This window comes from Homo sapiens, chromosome 6 (assembly GCF_000001405.40).
Source record: "Homo sapiens chromosome 6, GRCh38.p14 Primary Assembly".
NCBI lineage: Eukaryota > Metazoa > Chordata > Mammalia > Primates > Hominidae > Homo > Homo sapiens.
Window position 1 is genome coordinate 54,763,169 of NC_000006.12, and position 15,658 is coordinate 54,778,826.

General features: G+C 35.9%; 1 long non-coding RNA gene and 1 pseudogene across 1 annotated transcript in view; one reads left to right on the forward strand and one right to left on the reverse strand.

The window, feature by feature from the left end:
- The window catches only part of LOC107986606 (uncharacterized), a 179,493-nt gene that overhangs the window by 140,830 nt on the left and 23,005 nt on the right, over positions 1 to 15,658 (reverse strand). The window lies entirely within an intron of this gene.
- KRASP1 (KRAS proto-oncogene, GTPase pseudogene 1) lies at positions 7,306 to 12,538 on the forward strand (annotated as a pseudogene).

The window sequence follows — 15,658 nt, forward strand, 5'->3', positions numbered from 1 at the left end:
TGATCAAATTCATAGTTTAGAAAGATCAATCTGACAAAGCAGTATGACAAATGGATTATATAAGGACAATATAAGGTGTATAGGGATTTATGAGGCCTTTAAGATATTTCAGGTGAAAAATGATGAGAACCTAAAAAGTATCAGTGTCTATAAAAAGGAGAGAATGAACACCAAACTTACACTTGCAATATAAAGCCAATCTATTTTGACGACATCATAGATGTAGTGTCCACTAATTGGGGATGGTTTAGGTTGGATTGGGATGAGAATGGAATGATGCAGTTATTGAGGCAAAGGAAAATATGTAAGATGACAGTCAGTTTTCTAGCTTGGTAGTCATTCTTTTTCACTAGTCATTATGGGGTCAAATGGAGTGCCTACTGATCCATAAGATGTGCTAATTGTTACCATCGACTACAGTTAACTTGAATTCCATGTGTCTAGTCTGCCTCTACTCAACAATTACAAGAGTTTCTTGGAGCTTCAGAATTGGTAGGGAACATGTTAGTTTTGTTGTAATTAATAAAAGTACCAAAAAGCCCAAGAGATCTGAACAAGAAGGTCTTTGTCTGAAAGAACACAGGGGTTTCCCTTTAGTCCATGCTTCTAAAAACAAGTACATTGGTACCAATCTAGTGTTGCTGTGGAGAAATTAGGGTCTATCTTTGTTGTTCCACTTTGCTTCAAAACATGCACCTGAGAGGGACACAGCTCTTCCTCCAGTGTGTGGTTGCCCAGGATCTAAGGTCTGTCTGGTTTATCCTAGTTATTTCCCTTTCTCTTGTGTTTTCTTTTCATTATTCAGAATTAAAGCAATGATCTCATCTTAGTTTTCCAAAAACAAAAAGAGAATTTATTAGATCAACAAAAATTCAGTAAAATAGTAAGAAAATACCCATGCATTATAAGACAATAAAACCTCTATTGCTTTTCTTATTTAATAGGCTACTGGGCTTGTTCTTCTTAGAGACTTCTTTGAGAAAATAAAGAATATGAAATATTTTGTTCATGTGAAATCCTAGTTCTGTTTTTAGTAACATGGCTTTAAACAGGGTATCTACAGATTTGTTAATGCCAATGGAATAATACTTTAAATCTGGTGACCCAGAATAAAATTTCTGCAAAATTTCATTTATATGTCCAATAATAAGAGATCAAAAGCCCTGATACTCTTGAACACTTTGACCTGTGAAAACCTACAGGCTACTTTCCCACAGGTACAGAAGCTTCTTATCAGGCTCCACAGATACTATAGGCTGGGTCTGCAACCAAAAAGAGCATTCAAAGTTTTGGAAAAGAATAGAGAATAGTAGCTGGTAAGAAATCATGGAAGTAATACAAGGAGGTGTAAAGTAAAAAGGATCACAGTAATACAAGGAAGTAAAAAGTAAAAAATGATACCACAAATGAGGAAGAGAGATACCAAGAAGTTAGGGAAGTTGATTATAGTTTCAAGCTGAAAAAAATGAAGAGGGTCAGAATTCACATACTCTCTTAATAAATTTCAAACAGCCATTCTCCCATTACATTCATGCTGGTTTTTGTACAAAACCAGTTTTCATAATTATGACTGGTTTTTTTGTTTAGTGGAGCCAAACTGTAATGTGTGCCAGTTAAGAATGGTGGGGCAGACATTCATGGAGAGGATAGTATTCCCTTATAAATTCAATAAATTGTGTGTGCCACTTAGAGTAAAACAGTATGTTTAGTTTAAGTTTGACATATTGAAGGCTTTTTTGGCTTTAATAGCAATATTATTACATTATTTATTAGGCATTTAATGGTGCCATTTCATATAATTCTCATTCTGCTCTCCTCTGTCCTTCTGCTTTTTCTCCTCCTTCTCCCTCACCTTCTTCTGTTACTCATATCTCCTAAAAGTCATCTGAAGACAAATTAGACTTAGAACATTCACCATAATGCTTCGGGAAGGTTGTCACAGATATCCCCTCACCAGACATTTCAACAAGTTGATTGTATCACATACCATTTAGCCACAGTTTTTAAAATTTATTCACTTATTTTTGGATGCATAATAAATGTACATAGTTTTGGGGTAGACATATTGAGTTTTAAGTGTCTGTAAAATATTGATGGGAATATCTGACAGAGAGTGGTAGAAATTTCTGAGGCTTAAGAGAAACAAATACTAAGAAGAACATAGGGTAAGAATGTTGCTGTTCAAATCAAGGGAGAAATGCATCTTAAGGATAATTGAGTACTCAACAGCTTGAACACCAAAATGAGGTCCTTATCTCAACACCAGCCCATTGGCTGGTGGGCTTTTCCACCACTACCCAACTCAGGTCTTCTCTGCTCATTTTATTTTTAAGAGCTGACTCTTATATCTGTATTTTCAGACACTTATTAATGCATGGCACTATAAGTATATATCCAAAGATAATAACTATTTACATCATTCCCAAATATTGCCTGTTACTTGAATTCACTAATCGTATGCCCTTCTAACAACAGTCAGTACCTACTTTTAACGATGGTTGTAGGCATGAAGAAAGAGTTTAACATTCCGTTACGTCTCTATGACCCATTTAATTTCTTTGCAGAGCCAGTATTTATATTCTGATTATAATTCCAAGAATCGGGCTTTTCTTGATGGGGGTAGAGATTATACCCATTATCCAAAAATTTGTCCTCTTTTAATAGATAGTTGAGCTCTATCTGTGATGTATTATATATTTTTGATAGCAGTTACCTTTATCTTAATCTTATCTGACCAATCTACTGCATTTGGCACAGTGAAAATTGTCTACTTCTTGCATCTCCTGTGCAAATTTATTCTCTATTTCAGCCATAAAATATCTTGGTCCTTCAACCTTTAATCATACTCCTTTCTTTATTACTACTTCCCTATACTCTTTCTCCCAGGCAATAAGAAACAAGCATAAGGCATAGTAGCACTATTGACTACCACTATAATCTAGAAAAATCACCTAGTCTACATTTTCACTATCAAAATCACATCAAATTCAATGTGCCCAAAGGTAAATCCATGGTATGCACTTTTCCAGCCAGGTCTGACCTGGTCTTGGTCATGAACTGAAGTCTGAAAGAGTTACGACATAAGGTTATGTGTATATCAGATAAAGCTTACATGTTTATATACCTATTATTCATTAATTTATGAAAATTATTTATTAATTTCCAGCATTTATCATCTCATTAAGTGGCACCAGGATCCACGGAGTTACATCTATGATAACTAAGCATCTTCAAGTATCTCTTTTTCACAAAACTCATAACCATCCCATAACCAAGACCTATTATTTTTCTCCTTAAGCATCTCTTTAATCCACCCATTATTATTTTTAAAATTTTCACTGCCATCAAAGTCCAAAACACAGCCAAGTCTTACCTGGACCATTGTAGTAGCCATTGAACTATTTTTTTCTCATTCACTCTGCCTTCCCCCAACCCAGTGTACATACTACAATCAGAGTGATCTTTAAAAAGACAAATATGATGTCATCTTCACTGAAACTCTTCAGAAATCTCTCATTGCTTCTAGGATTAAAAAAAAATTGACTTGGCATACAAGGTCCTAATTCTCCAACCTCATCTTGCAATTTTTTTTGTTTTTTTGTTTTTTTAGACGGAGTCTCAGTCTGTCACCCAGGCTGGAGTCCAGTGGCACGATCTCGGATCACTGGAACCTCCACCTCCCAGGTTTAAGCAATTCTCCTGCCCCAGCCTCCTGAGGAGCTGGGATTACAGACGCAATCCACCATGCCCAGTTAATTTTTTCATTTTTAGTAGAGACGGGGTTTCACCATGTTTATCAGGCTGGTTTCAAACTCCTGACCTCATGATCTGCCCGCCTTGGCTTCCCAAAGTGCTGCGATTACAGGCCTGAGCCACCATGTCCGGCCTCATTTTGCAATATTCTATCCCTTCTCTCTGCACTCTAGCCATACCAGCTCTCTTTAAATTTCCTGAACTTGTCACATGGCTTTTGTACATATTGTCTACAAATGTATATTTGTACATATGCACACATATACTGTCCATATGTATAAAATGTTAAATACATAGTTCCACCTCCTCTCATTCCTCTCTGTGAGTGCCGTGGACTGCAGTTGCTTCTAATTTGCTATCTTGGCCTCTCCTCAACTAAAATATTTTTTAACTTCCAATGGGTTTATCAAGACATAACCCCATTGTAAGACAAGAATATCTGTACTGTACTCAAGAATTTACTGTTTATATCTTCCTTATGTTCATACAAAAAGATATAAAACCCAAAACTGATTACTGATTTTTAGCACATGATCCATAATGCTATCTTATAAAAAGGAGTAAAAATGTAATTAATTTGAACTAAATTTGTTCAATAATAGCCCAACCACAATACATGTTAATTTATTATAATCTAGGAACCCGTAATTTATATACACTGAGGTAATTGCTACTGTTTCTCTAACCAAATCAATAAACCGTCCTCCACTGTTAGGCCTATGTCCTGGAAACTAATCAACTGGAGTTACGTGTTAGTCTGTTTCTTTCTATGTTTATTTGAATATCTGGTGCATATAAAGATGACATGGTTACAAATTTTCCCATTTGAGATATCAATAGCTAGAACTGTTTTTTTCTTTTATCTTACAGTCAAGCTTTGAGCATTATTTTCTAGGTTCTTTACAACTCTTGTATTAGTTAACAAATAAAAAGAATCCAGTAAAATGCCTGAGACATTGAAGGTGCTCAATAAATGTTATTTACCCAACTAACCTTACAAGCAATTTTAATTTACCTTAATGTTTTCTCAAATTTTCCCATTATTATCCTTGTCTTATTAAAAATATAAAAAATCACAAGTGCCTTTATTTTCTTTTAAAATTTTTTAAATGCTTATTTTTCTTTGAAGTAATCTACAGAGAAAAATAACTTGCCAATTTGAATAACTCTGACAAAGATCTTAAGCCCCATCTTTAGGAGCCAAACAACAGTGGCAGAAAGAGACATGAAGTAAACAATGACAAAAATACTACAATAAAATTATGCTCTGTGACCAGAAAGATCAATAAAGTTTTCTTATTTAGGAGGGTTAGCAAAGTGGTATTTATGTTATTTACAGGAAGACAAGGGGGGTAAAAAGAGATACCAGGAATATGCACAAAGAATGTGACATATTCCAGAATATTTAAGCACCTGACCCAGATGGAGTTTAGAATGAATGGCAGGGGTAGATGGGATGAGGCTGGGTAGGCAGGCACATGCTAGATCAGGGAAGTCTGTGTATTTGCCTTAAAGGAGCAGAAAAACATCAAAGGATTTAAAGGATACAAGCAATGTGATGAGATTTGGCTTTTTGAAACCTCACTGTAGTTGCGGCAGCATGGTGCTTTCATTTAATAAGGCCTCTCCAAAGAGAAAATGAGGGCAGTTTAAGAGCTATATAATTTACAGTAAGTCATATGACAGCTATCACTAACAGTGTATCAATTTACTGCTTTTTACAATAGAGGAAGAGAGCAAGCCTTGGATTAGTACACTAATGAAAACTAACCTTTTCCCCCATAAATGTGAAGATTGCATAGAGAACAATTATGTCAGACTAATACAATTTATTTCTATGATGTCATCTATCTGGGCTTGAGTAAGGACTGATCCAGTTCCAGATGGAAATCAAAATAACAAGCTAGACTGATACAATCTAGAACACTCCACCACTGAGAGAAAGAACATGAAATTAGAGGAAGGGTTGATTATTTCTGTTTGGAAACAGAGGGTAGTGGGTGGGTGATCTGCCTATAGCTACTGTTGTTTAGTATCTTTATTCATCAATGTTTGAGTGCTTACCTATTAATTTTTCATATGATAAAAACTTTGTTGAACTTGACTACTTGAAAAAGCAAACATCTTTACATTTTTAATGCATATTATATAGATGAAAGTACAATGTAAACAAATGAAAAGCAATATGTGAAGAAGAAAACAAACTCTAAGTAAAGAAAAATTGTATCAGAAAAGTTTAATGTGTTCCTGGGGCCATGAAGATCCTCAGGTATATACATGCGTTCATGAATTAAGTTATGCTGGTAGTTTAACATGCACGTATTTTGCTGCAATGTGCAAATAAAAGTATGTAAGAAATTTAAATGATTCCTCTTAAAGGAGCATTTCATCCTACTCAGGGAAACAAATTTATTTTGACCTCATATTTCAACAATAATACTGTCATAAACCCTTACACTTACTAAATTAATCCTCATAATAACCCTATAATACAGGTACTACTGTATCTCATTTTAAAGATGAGGAAGCTGTTGGCCGGGCATGGTGGCTCATGCCTGTAATCCCAGCACTTTGGGAGGCCACGGTGGGTGGAACATTTGAGATCAGGAGTTGAGACCAGCCTGGCCAACATGGTGAAACCCTGCCTCTACTAAAAATACAAAAATTAGCCGGACGTGGCAGGGGGCTCCTGTAATCCCAGCTACTTGGAAGGCTAAGGCAGGAGAATTGCTTGAACCTGGGAGGCGAATGTTGCCATGAGCCGAGATCGCGCCACTGCACTCCAGCCTGGGCGACAGAGTGAGACTCCATCTCAAAAAACATAATAAATAAATAAATAAAAAAGATGAGGTATTTAAGTGACTTATCATAGTCACTAGTAAATTGTGGAGTAATTTCAAGATCTAGAGAAAAAATTTTAGCAGATAAAGATTTAAAGCAAACTAAAATTATTAGAAATAGGTCCGGGACATTATTTATTGCCACATTTAAATACTCACTACGAGAATACAATAGCATTAGACATGTCAGGAATTTTATAAAGCATGATCAAAATTTGATTTGATGTAATGCACAGTAACATGTCAAACATATCAGAAATATTGTTTAACAGTGACCTAGTAAGGATGATTTTGACCCAAGTTGTTATTTGAAGAGAAAACTGGAGACTATTTCTAGCAGCATATTCTTTTTCCTCTGGAGACCTTTCACATGCCAACAACCTGACAGATGATGAAGAATGCATTATGACAAAACTGACCTAAAACTTTCAATAAGATTCACAATGTCATTCTTATTTGCAATGCTTTTTAGGTACTACATTGCAATTTAGAAAACAATGACTCCAGGGAGAAGCATGGTCTACTATTTAGTGCATTGTGTAACATTAAGATCTACTGAAATTTGCTGGTTCTTTGAAATAAAATGAATCTTTAGTGTTTGACATTATCCTGCATCATAAATTCCTAAGGAATGGAATGAGCTTTGACTGCCTTACCTTGAGAATAAGCATATTCACGTAAAGTATATAAGACAAATACTGGTTTAGATGAAGCTGGGCCAGTACTCCCGGCCTCCGCCATTTCGGACTGGGAGCTCCGTGGCGCAGGCACTGAAGGCGGCGGCAGGGCCAGAGGCTCAGCGGCTCCCAGACCTGCTGAAAATGACTGAATATAAACTTGCGGTAGTTGGAGCTGGTGGCGTAAGCAAAAGTGTCTTGACGATACAGCTAATTCAGAATCATTTTGTGGACCAATATGATCCAACAATAGAGAATTCCTACAGGAAGCAAGTAGTAATTGATGGAGAAACCTGTCTCTTGGATATTCTTGACACAACAGGTCAAGAAGAGTACAATGCAATGAGGACCAGTACATGAGGACTGGGCGGGGGGGGGGGGGGGGCTTTCTTTGTGTATTTGCCATAAATAATATTAAATCATTTGAAGATATGCACAATTATAGAAAACAAATTAAAAGATTTAAGGACTCTGAAGATGTGCCTATGGTCCTAGTAGGAAATAAATGTGATTTGCCTTCTAGAACAGTAGACACAAAAGGCTCAGGACTTAGCAAGGAGTTAGGGAATTCCCTTTATTGAAACCAGCAAAGACAGGGTGTTAATGATGCCTTCTATACATTAGTTTGAGAAATAAAAGATGAGCAAAGATGGTAAGAAGAAGAAAAGTCAATGACAAAGTGTGTAATTATGTAAATACAATTAGTACTTTTTTCTTAAGGCATACTTAAGTAAAACTGGTAATTTTTATACATTACACTAAACTATTAGCATTGTTTTAGCATTACCTAATTTTTTTCCTGCTCCATGCAAACTGTTAGCTTTTACCTTAAATGCTTATTTTAAAATGACAGTGCAAACTTTTTTCCCCTAAGTGCCAGTATTACCAGAGTTTTGGTTTTCAAACTAGCAATGCCTGTGAAAAAGAAACTGAATACCTTTGATTTCTGTCTTGGGGTTTTTGGTGCATGCAGTTGATTACTTCTTATTTTTCTTACCAGTTGTGAACATCGGTGAGAAACAAATTAATGAAGCTTGTGAATCATCCCTATTCTGTGTTTTATCTAGTCACATAAATGGATTAATTACTAATTATAATTTCAGTTGAGGCTTTATAATTGGTTTTACTGAAACATTGAGGGAACACAAATTTATGGGATTTCTGATGATTCTTCTTCTAGGCATCATGTCCTGTAGTTTGTCATCCCCGGTGAATGTAAAGTTACACTGTTCACAAAGGTTTTGCCCCACTTTCCACTGCTACTAGTCACGGTCACTCTCTCAAAAATATTATATTTTTTCTATAAAAAAATGGAAAAAAATTACAAGGCAATGGAAACTATTATAAGGCCATTTCCTTTTCACATTAGATAAATTATTATAAGAACTCCTAATAGTTTTTTCGGTTAAGGGAGACCCAGTATGAAATGGGAATTATAGCAACCATTTTCGGGCTATATTTACATGGTACTAAATTTTTATAATAATTGAAAGAATTTTAACAGGTATAAAACATTCTCACAGGAATTAAATGTAGTCTCCCTGTGTCAGATTTCTCTTTCGTAGTATAACTTTAAATCTTTTATTCAACTTCAGTCTTTGAAGATAGTTTTAATTCTGCTTGTGTTATTAAAGATTATTTGGGCCAGTCATAGCTTAGTAAGTGTTGAAGAGACCAAGTTTGCAAGGCCAGGCCCTGTGTGAACCTTTGAGCTTTCATAGAGAGTTTCACAGCATGGACTGTGTCCCCATGGTCATCCAGCGTTGTCATGCATTGGTTGGTCAAAATGGGGAGGGATTAGGACAGTTTGGAAAGCTCAACAAATACATTCTCACTCTGTGGCAGTCCTGCTGACAAATCAAGAGCATCGCTTTTGTTTTTAAGAAAACAAAATCTTTTTTAAAAATTACTTTTAAATATTAACTCAAAAGTTGAGATTTTGGGGTGGTGGTGTGCAAAGACATTAATTTTTTTAAACAATGAAGTGAAAAAGCTTTAAAATCTCTAGGTTTGGCTAGTTCTCTTAACACGGGTTAAATTAACATTTCATAAACACTTTTCAAGTCTGATGCATATTTAAGATTAATGCTTTAAAAATAAATATTAATAAAATAATCCTATTAATACACTTAAAATGTTACTTATTTTAAAATATATGAAGTGAGATGGTGTGGTGAGGTGAAAATATCACTGGACTAGAAGGAAGGTGACTTAGGTTCTAGATATGTGTCTTTTAGGACTCTGATTTTGAGGAAATCACTTACTATCCATTTCTTCATGTTAAAAGAAGTCATCTCAAACTCATTGCTTTTTTACAACTATATAATTTATATTCCGTTTACATAGGATACACTTATTTGTCAAGCTCAGCACAATCTGTAACTTTTTAACCTATGTTACCATCTTCAGTGACAGTGACAATCTTGGGCAAAATTGTGCAAGAGGTAAAGTTTATATTTGAATATCCATTCTCGTTTTAGGACTCTCCTTCTGTATTAGTGTCATCTTGCCTGCCTGCCTTCCACATGCCCCATGATTTGATGTAATTTTAATACTTCTAATTCCCCTAACCATAAGATTTACTGCTGCTGTGGATATCTCCATGAAGGTTTCCCATTAAGTCACATCAAAATCCCTTACATCTTATTTCCTCAGGTCTCAAAAGAATCTGACAGATATCATAATGGGATTTGACCTAATAGCTAATTTTCAGGTGGTGGCTGATTCTTTGAACACCTCTTTGCTGCCCAATTCATTAGTGATAGTAGGAATTTTCAAACCTGGTATGAACAGACAGAACCCTATCCAGTGGAAGGAGATTTTAATAACGATACTGCTGAAAGAATTTCTTAGGTAATCTACAATTAGGACTACCCCTGGTAACAGTAATACATTCCAATGTTTTAATAACCAGAAATCTTCTTACAATGAAAAATACTTTAATTCATAAAGCTTACTGGTTTTGTTTGTTTGTTTGTTTTTAGGCGGGGTCAGAGTCTCACTCTGTCACCCAGGCTGGAATGCAGTGGCGCCATCTTGTCTTACTGTCTCACTGTAACCTCCATCTCCCAGGTTCAAGCGATTCTCATGCCTCAGCCTCCCGAGTAGCTGGGATTACAGGCGTGTGCCACCATGCTCAGCTAATTTTTGTATTTTTAGTAGAGACAGGGTTTCACCCTATTGGCCAGGCTGGTCTCAAATTCCTGACCTCAAGTGATTCGCCCGCCTCGGCCCCATAAAGCTTACTGTTTTGCAGAACTCATTTACTCAGTAAATATATACTGAGTGCCTACCAGATGCCAGTCACTGCCTAAGGCACTGGGTATATGGTATCCCCAAACAAGAGGCATAATCCCAGTCCTTAGGTAGTGCTAGCATGGTCTGTAATATCTTAGTAAGGCCTTCGGCATATGACCCAGAGATAACACAACGTGTATTTTAGTTTTGCAAAGAAGGGGTTTGGTCTCTAAGGTTTCTTCCAGTTCTATAATTGTTTTGCTGTGATTCCAGTGCAACTCTTTGATCTAGCTACTTTATGTAAATCACTTCATTATTTTAAAGGAATAAACTTGATTATATTGTGTTTTATTTGGCATAACTATATGATTCTGTTGGGCCAATTACTGTACCCATTAAGGTATATGTCAGATACTCACAAAATTCCCAAATGTGTAGTATTCCAGTTTTCTCTGCATAAGTAATTAAAATAGACTTAAAAATTAAATATTTACTTCTAAAATAGTTTTATCTGGATGCAAATAAACAGGCGCCTGAACTAGTTCATAGACAATGAAACTTCTATGTAAAAATCAGTATGATTTCTGAAATACTATGCTAAACTACAGATCTGTGGAACATTGTTTAGGTAGGGTGTTATACAGTACCTCTTGTTTCTACACAGAGAAAGAAATGGTTATACTTCAGGAACTGCAGAGCTTATGAGGGGATATTTAGGCCTCTTGAATTTTTTATGTAGATGGACATTTTTTAAGGTAATGATAATTACCTTTTATTATGTGAACTTTGAATGGTTTAACAAAAGGTTTGTTATTGTAGCGATTTTTAAAGTGGGAGAATTCTAGAAAGAAATGTTATCTAATTATTACAGCCTTAAAGATAAAAATCCTTGTTGAAGTTTTTCCAAAAAGTGCTAAATTACATAGTCTTAGGCATTAACATGTTTGTGGAAGAATAGAGCAGACATATATTGTATGATTTGAGTGAATATTTCCACTTAGGCATTCTAGGCTCTATTTTAACTGAGTCACACTGCCTAGGAATTTAGAACCTAACTTTTATAGGTTATCAAAACTGTTGCCACCATTGCATAATTTTGTCCTAATATATATATGGAAACTTTGTGGGGCATGTTAAGTTACAGTTTGCACAAGTTCATCTCATTTGTATTCCAGTGATTTTTTTTTTAATCCAACCATTATTTCTTCAGTGTATATACATTTAGGGGATATTTCTTTAGACACAAAAACTATCTGAAGATTTCCATTTGTTAAAAAGTCATGATATCTTGATAATTATGTAGTAATTTTTTTTAGAACAAAGCAGTTACTTTAAGGCTGAATTTATATTTAATAACTTCTGTGTTAATACTGGATAGCATGAATTCTGCGTTGAGCAATTGAACAGCATACTACTGATAGCTGTCTGTCAAAAATGAAAATTTCTTTCTAAAGATACTCACATGAGTTCTTGAAGAATAGTCATAACTAGACTAAGATTTGTGTTTTAGTTTAATAGTTTGAAGTGCCTGTTTGGGATAATGATAGGTAATTTAGATGAATTTAGGGGGAAAAAAGTTATCTGCAGAAATGTTGAGGGCTCATCCCCACCCAGCAAATAGAGCTAACTGGGTTACAATGTTTTATCCGAAAGTTTCCAATTCCACTGTCCTGTGTTTTCACGTTGAAAATACTTTTGCATTTTTTCTTTGAGTGCCAATTTCTTACTAGTACTATTTCTTAATGTAACATATTTACCTGGAATGTATTTTGTGTAAACTGAAACATGCACATTTTGTACATTGTGCTTTCTTTTGTGGGACATATGCAGTGTGATCCAGTTGTTTTCCATCATTTGGTTGCGCTGACCTAGGAATGCTGGTCATATCAAACATTAAAAATTACCACTCTTTTAATTGAAATTAACTTTTAAATGTTTATAGGAGTATGTGCTGTGATCTGAAATTTGTAATATTTTTGTCATGAACTGTATAGCTCCTAATTATTACAATGTAATAAAAATAGTTACAGTAAAAAAAATTGAGAATTCTGATTCAGTAGTTCTGGGATGTGGCCAAAGTTTCTGCATTTCTCACATTCTTCCAAGTGATAATGATGATACTGCTGCAAGGGGTCCAAGCTACACATGTTGAGGAGCAAAACTATATAGATACTCATGTGACGTATCAAAGACAACACCATGTCCAACACACATGCACACATACACATACACACACACACACACACACACACCCATTTATTCCTGAGGAATTATTACCTGCATGAAGTACATAATTCATTTGTTCTTGTAACTTTACACAGATTATTTTCTTTTTTCCTCTGGTATAATAATCTTTCTCTTTCTTATCAACTAATACATTCCTGGCCACAGCACACTTTATGCAAGTTCTTTTAAATAATAAACACTGAATCATAATTCTCTGAGACAGGAATTGGGTTTTTATTGTTATCCACATTACTGAGATATTTTTGTTTAATGAATATGAGTTGCTGCCCACAGGGGTCTTCCAATCCAGTTGGAGAGACAAAAATAATTGTCTTAATATACTATGAAGATTAGGAACAGAAACATAGAAACTCTTAAAATTGTGTTCCTAAGATAATAGTTTTACAAATATGGAATTTAATGGTTTCAAGTTCATAGACCTGTGTTAAAAACCCCAATGTCTTATCAAGAGAAAGGAGAAAGAAATGGAGGACAGTATGCTCTGTTAATGAAAAAAGCCGAACTCTGTAAAATATTGAAAGAGGCTTAGTCTGAGCCAAATATGAGTGACCATGGCCTGGAATAGAGTCTAAAGCTGTCTTGAGAACATATGCCCAAGTCAATCTGGTTAAACTTGGTTTTATACATTTTAGGGAGACAGAGATTACAAGCCAAGGCATACGTTAATACATGTAAGGTATATATTGGTTTGGCCCAGAAAGGCAGGACATCTCAAAACCAGGGACTTACAGGTCATAAATGGATTCAAAAATTTTCTCATTAGCAATTGGTTGAAAGGATTAAGCTTAGGCCAGGTGCGATGGCTCATGCCTGTAATCCCAGCACTTTGGGAGGCTGAGACGGGCGGATCACCTGAGGTTAGGAGTTCAAGACCAGTCTGGCCAACATGGTGAAACCCTATCTCTACTAAAAAAAAGAAATTACAAAAAATTAGCCAGGCAAGGGGGTGGGCACCTGTAATCTCAGCTACTTGGGAGGCTGAGGCAAGAGAATCGCTTGAACCCAGGGGTCAGAGTTTAGAGTCAGCCAAGATCATGCCACTGCACTCCAGCTTGGGCAACAGAGCACTCCTTCTCAAAAAAAAAAAAAAAAAGAATTAAGCTTTGCCTAAAGAGTTGAATCAGCAGAAAGAAATGCTTGAATTAAGATAAGGAGGGTTATGGAAGCCAATGTTCTTGTTATGTAAATGAAGCCTCTAAGTAGCAAGCTTCAGAGACAATAGATCATAAATGTCTCTTTCAGGGCATTAAAAGGTGTCAAAGTCTTAGTTAAATGTCTCCTGAATCTGGAAAAGACCTGGAAAGGGAAGGAGACTCTCTACAGGATGCAAATTTTCCCCACAAGAGACAACTTTGCAAGTCTATTTCAAAATATGTCAAAGAAATATATTTTAGGGTAGAACACTTCGATTTTCTTCAGGGTCTTCTCCCTGTCATGTGATGCTATACCAGAGACAGGTTGGAATTTGACACTTTATTGTTACAAAGAGTGTTTTGTCAATCTTATGATCCCTATTTTAATGTTAATGCTGATTAGTTAAACTGGGGGTATATGTTAGAGAAGGGGTATAATGGAGCATGTCCAACCCTCTTCCTGTCATGAACTGAACTAGGTCTTCAGGTTCCCTTAGCCAAAGATTGGGAGTCCTTTCGGTTGGTTAGGGGACTTAGAATTTTAGTTTTGATTTATATGTCCAAATATAATAGATTCTCATGGGAGTCAGAATGATAGTGGTGAAAGGGCAGAACTCCACTTGTTTACCGTAAAAGAGAGGAGAGAGAGAATAGACAATACATGAAAGACAACAATAGACATTATCCATGGTCCATCTTTTTGTGTAGGGTAAGCAATGAAGAATATATGGAAATTAGCATGACCAAAATGAAGGTGCAGTGCTGGAATTATCAGCGGGAAAGTGGATAGGCCTGAAAATGAAGAAGCCTGAATGCAATGTTTAGTCACTGGGCATGAGAGGGCAGCGAGCAGGACATTAATGTTTCTGAGTAAGACAAGTGCCATAACGAAATGTATTTAAGAATTTGTATTTTAAAAAACAAAATTTAAATAGAATATTGTGTTAATCAGATTTAAATACAGCATGATCTGCTCACAAAATTATTCCTTCAACATGTGTCATAAAATATTTGAAAAAGAAAATATTCTATGTGACATTTTGATTTACCTTTCCTATTATTGTAACCACAGGACCAACCTATAGTGGGCCTACTCTGTTGATAAGATAATGTCAGGTTACCTTGTAGGTATAACAGAGCCTAAACTGGAAGTTATGTAGCCCCACCACATGTAATAGAAAAAGATTTGACCTCTAACAACACCCGGAACCAAGGATTCCTCCCCACAGAACCAAAAAGGCTGGGACATGATAAATACTGGAATCCTTTCAAAGGTGAGGGATCTTTTGACCCAGAAGATTCAGAATGTATTAGTCCATTCTTACATTGCTATAAAGAACTACCTGATACTGGATAATTTATTTTAAAAAGAGGTTTGATTGACTTGTGGTTCTACAGGCTGTACAGGAAGCATGGCAGGAGAGACCTCAGGAAACTCACAATCATGGTGGAAAGTGAAGAGGAAGGTGTCACGTCTTACATGGCTGGAGCAGGAGGAAGAGAGAGAAGCGGGTGGTACTACAAACTAAACAACCAGATCTCATGAGAACTCACTCACTATCATGAGAACAGCAAAGGGGACGTTTACCCCATGATCAAATCACCTCCCACTGGACCCCTCCTCCAACATTGAGGATCACATGAGATTTGGCAGGGACACAAATTCAAACCATATAACATGGCTGAAATCCACCTCAGCATACCTTATTCAAATGGTCAAATCAGACCCTGACAAGCCAACATTCCCAAATTCTTCCCCTTGCCCTCTGAC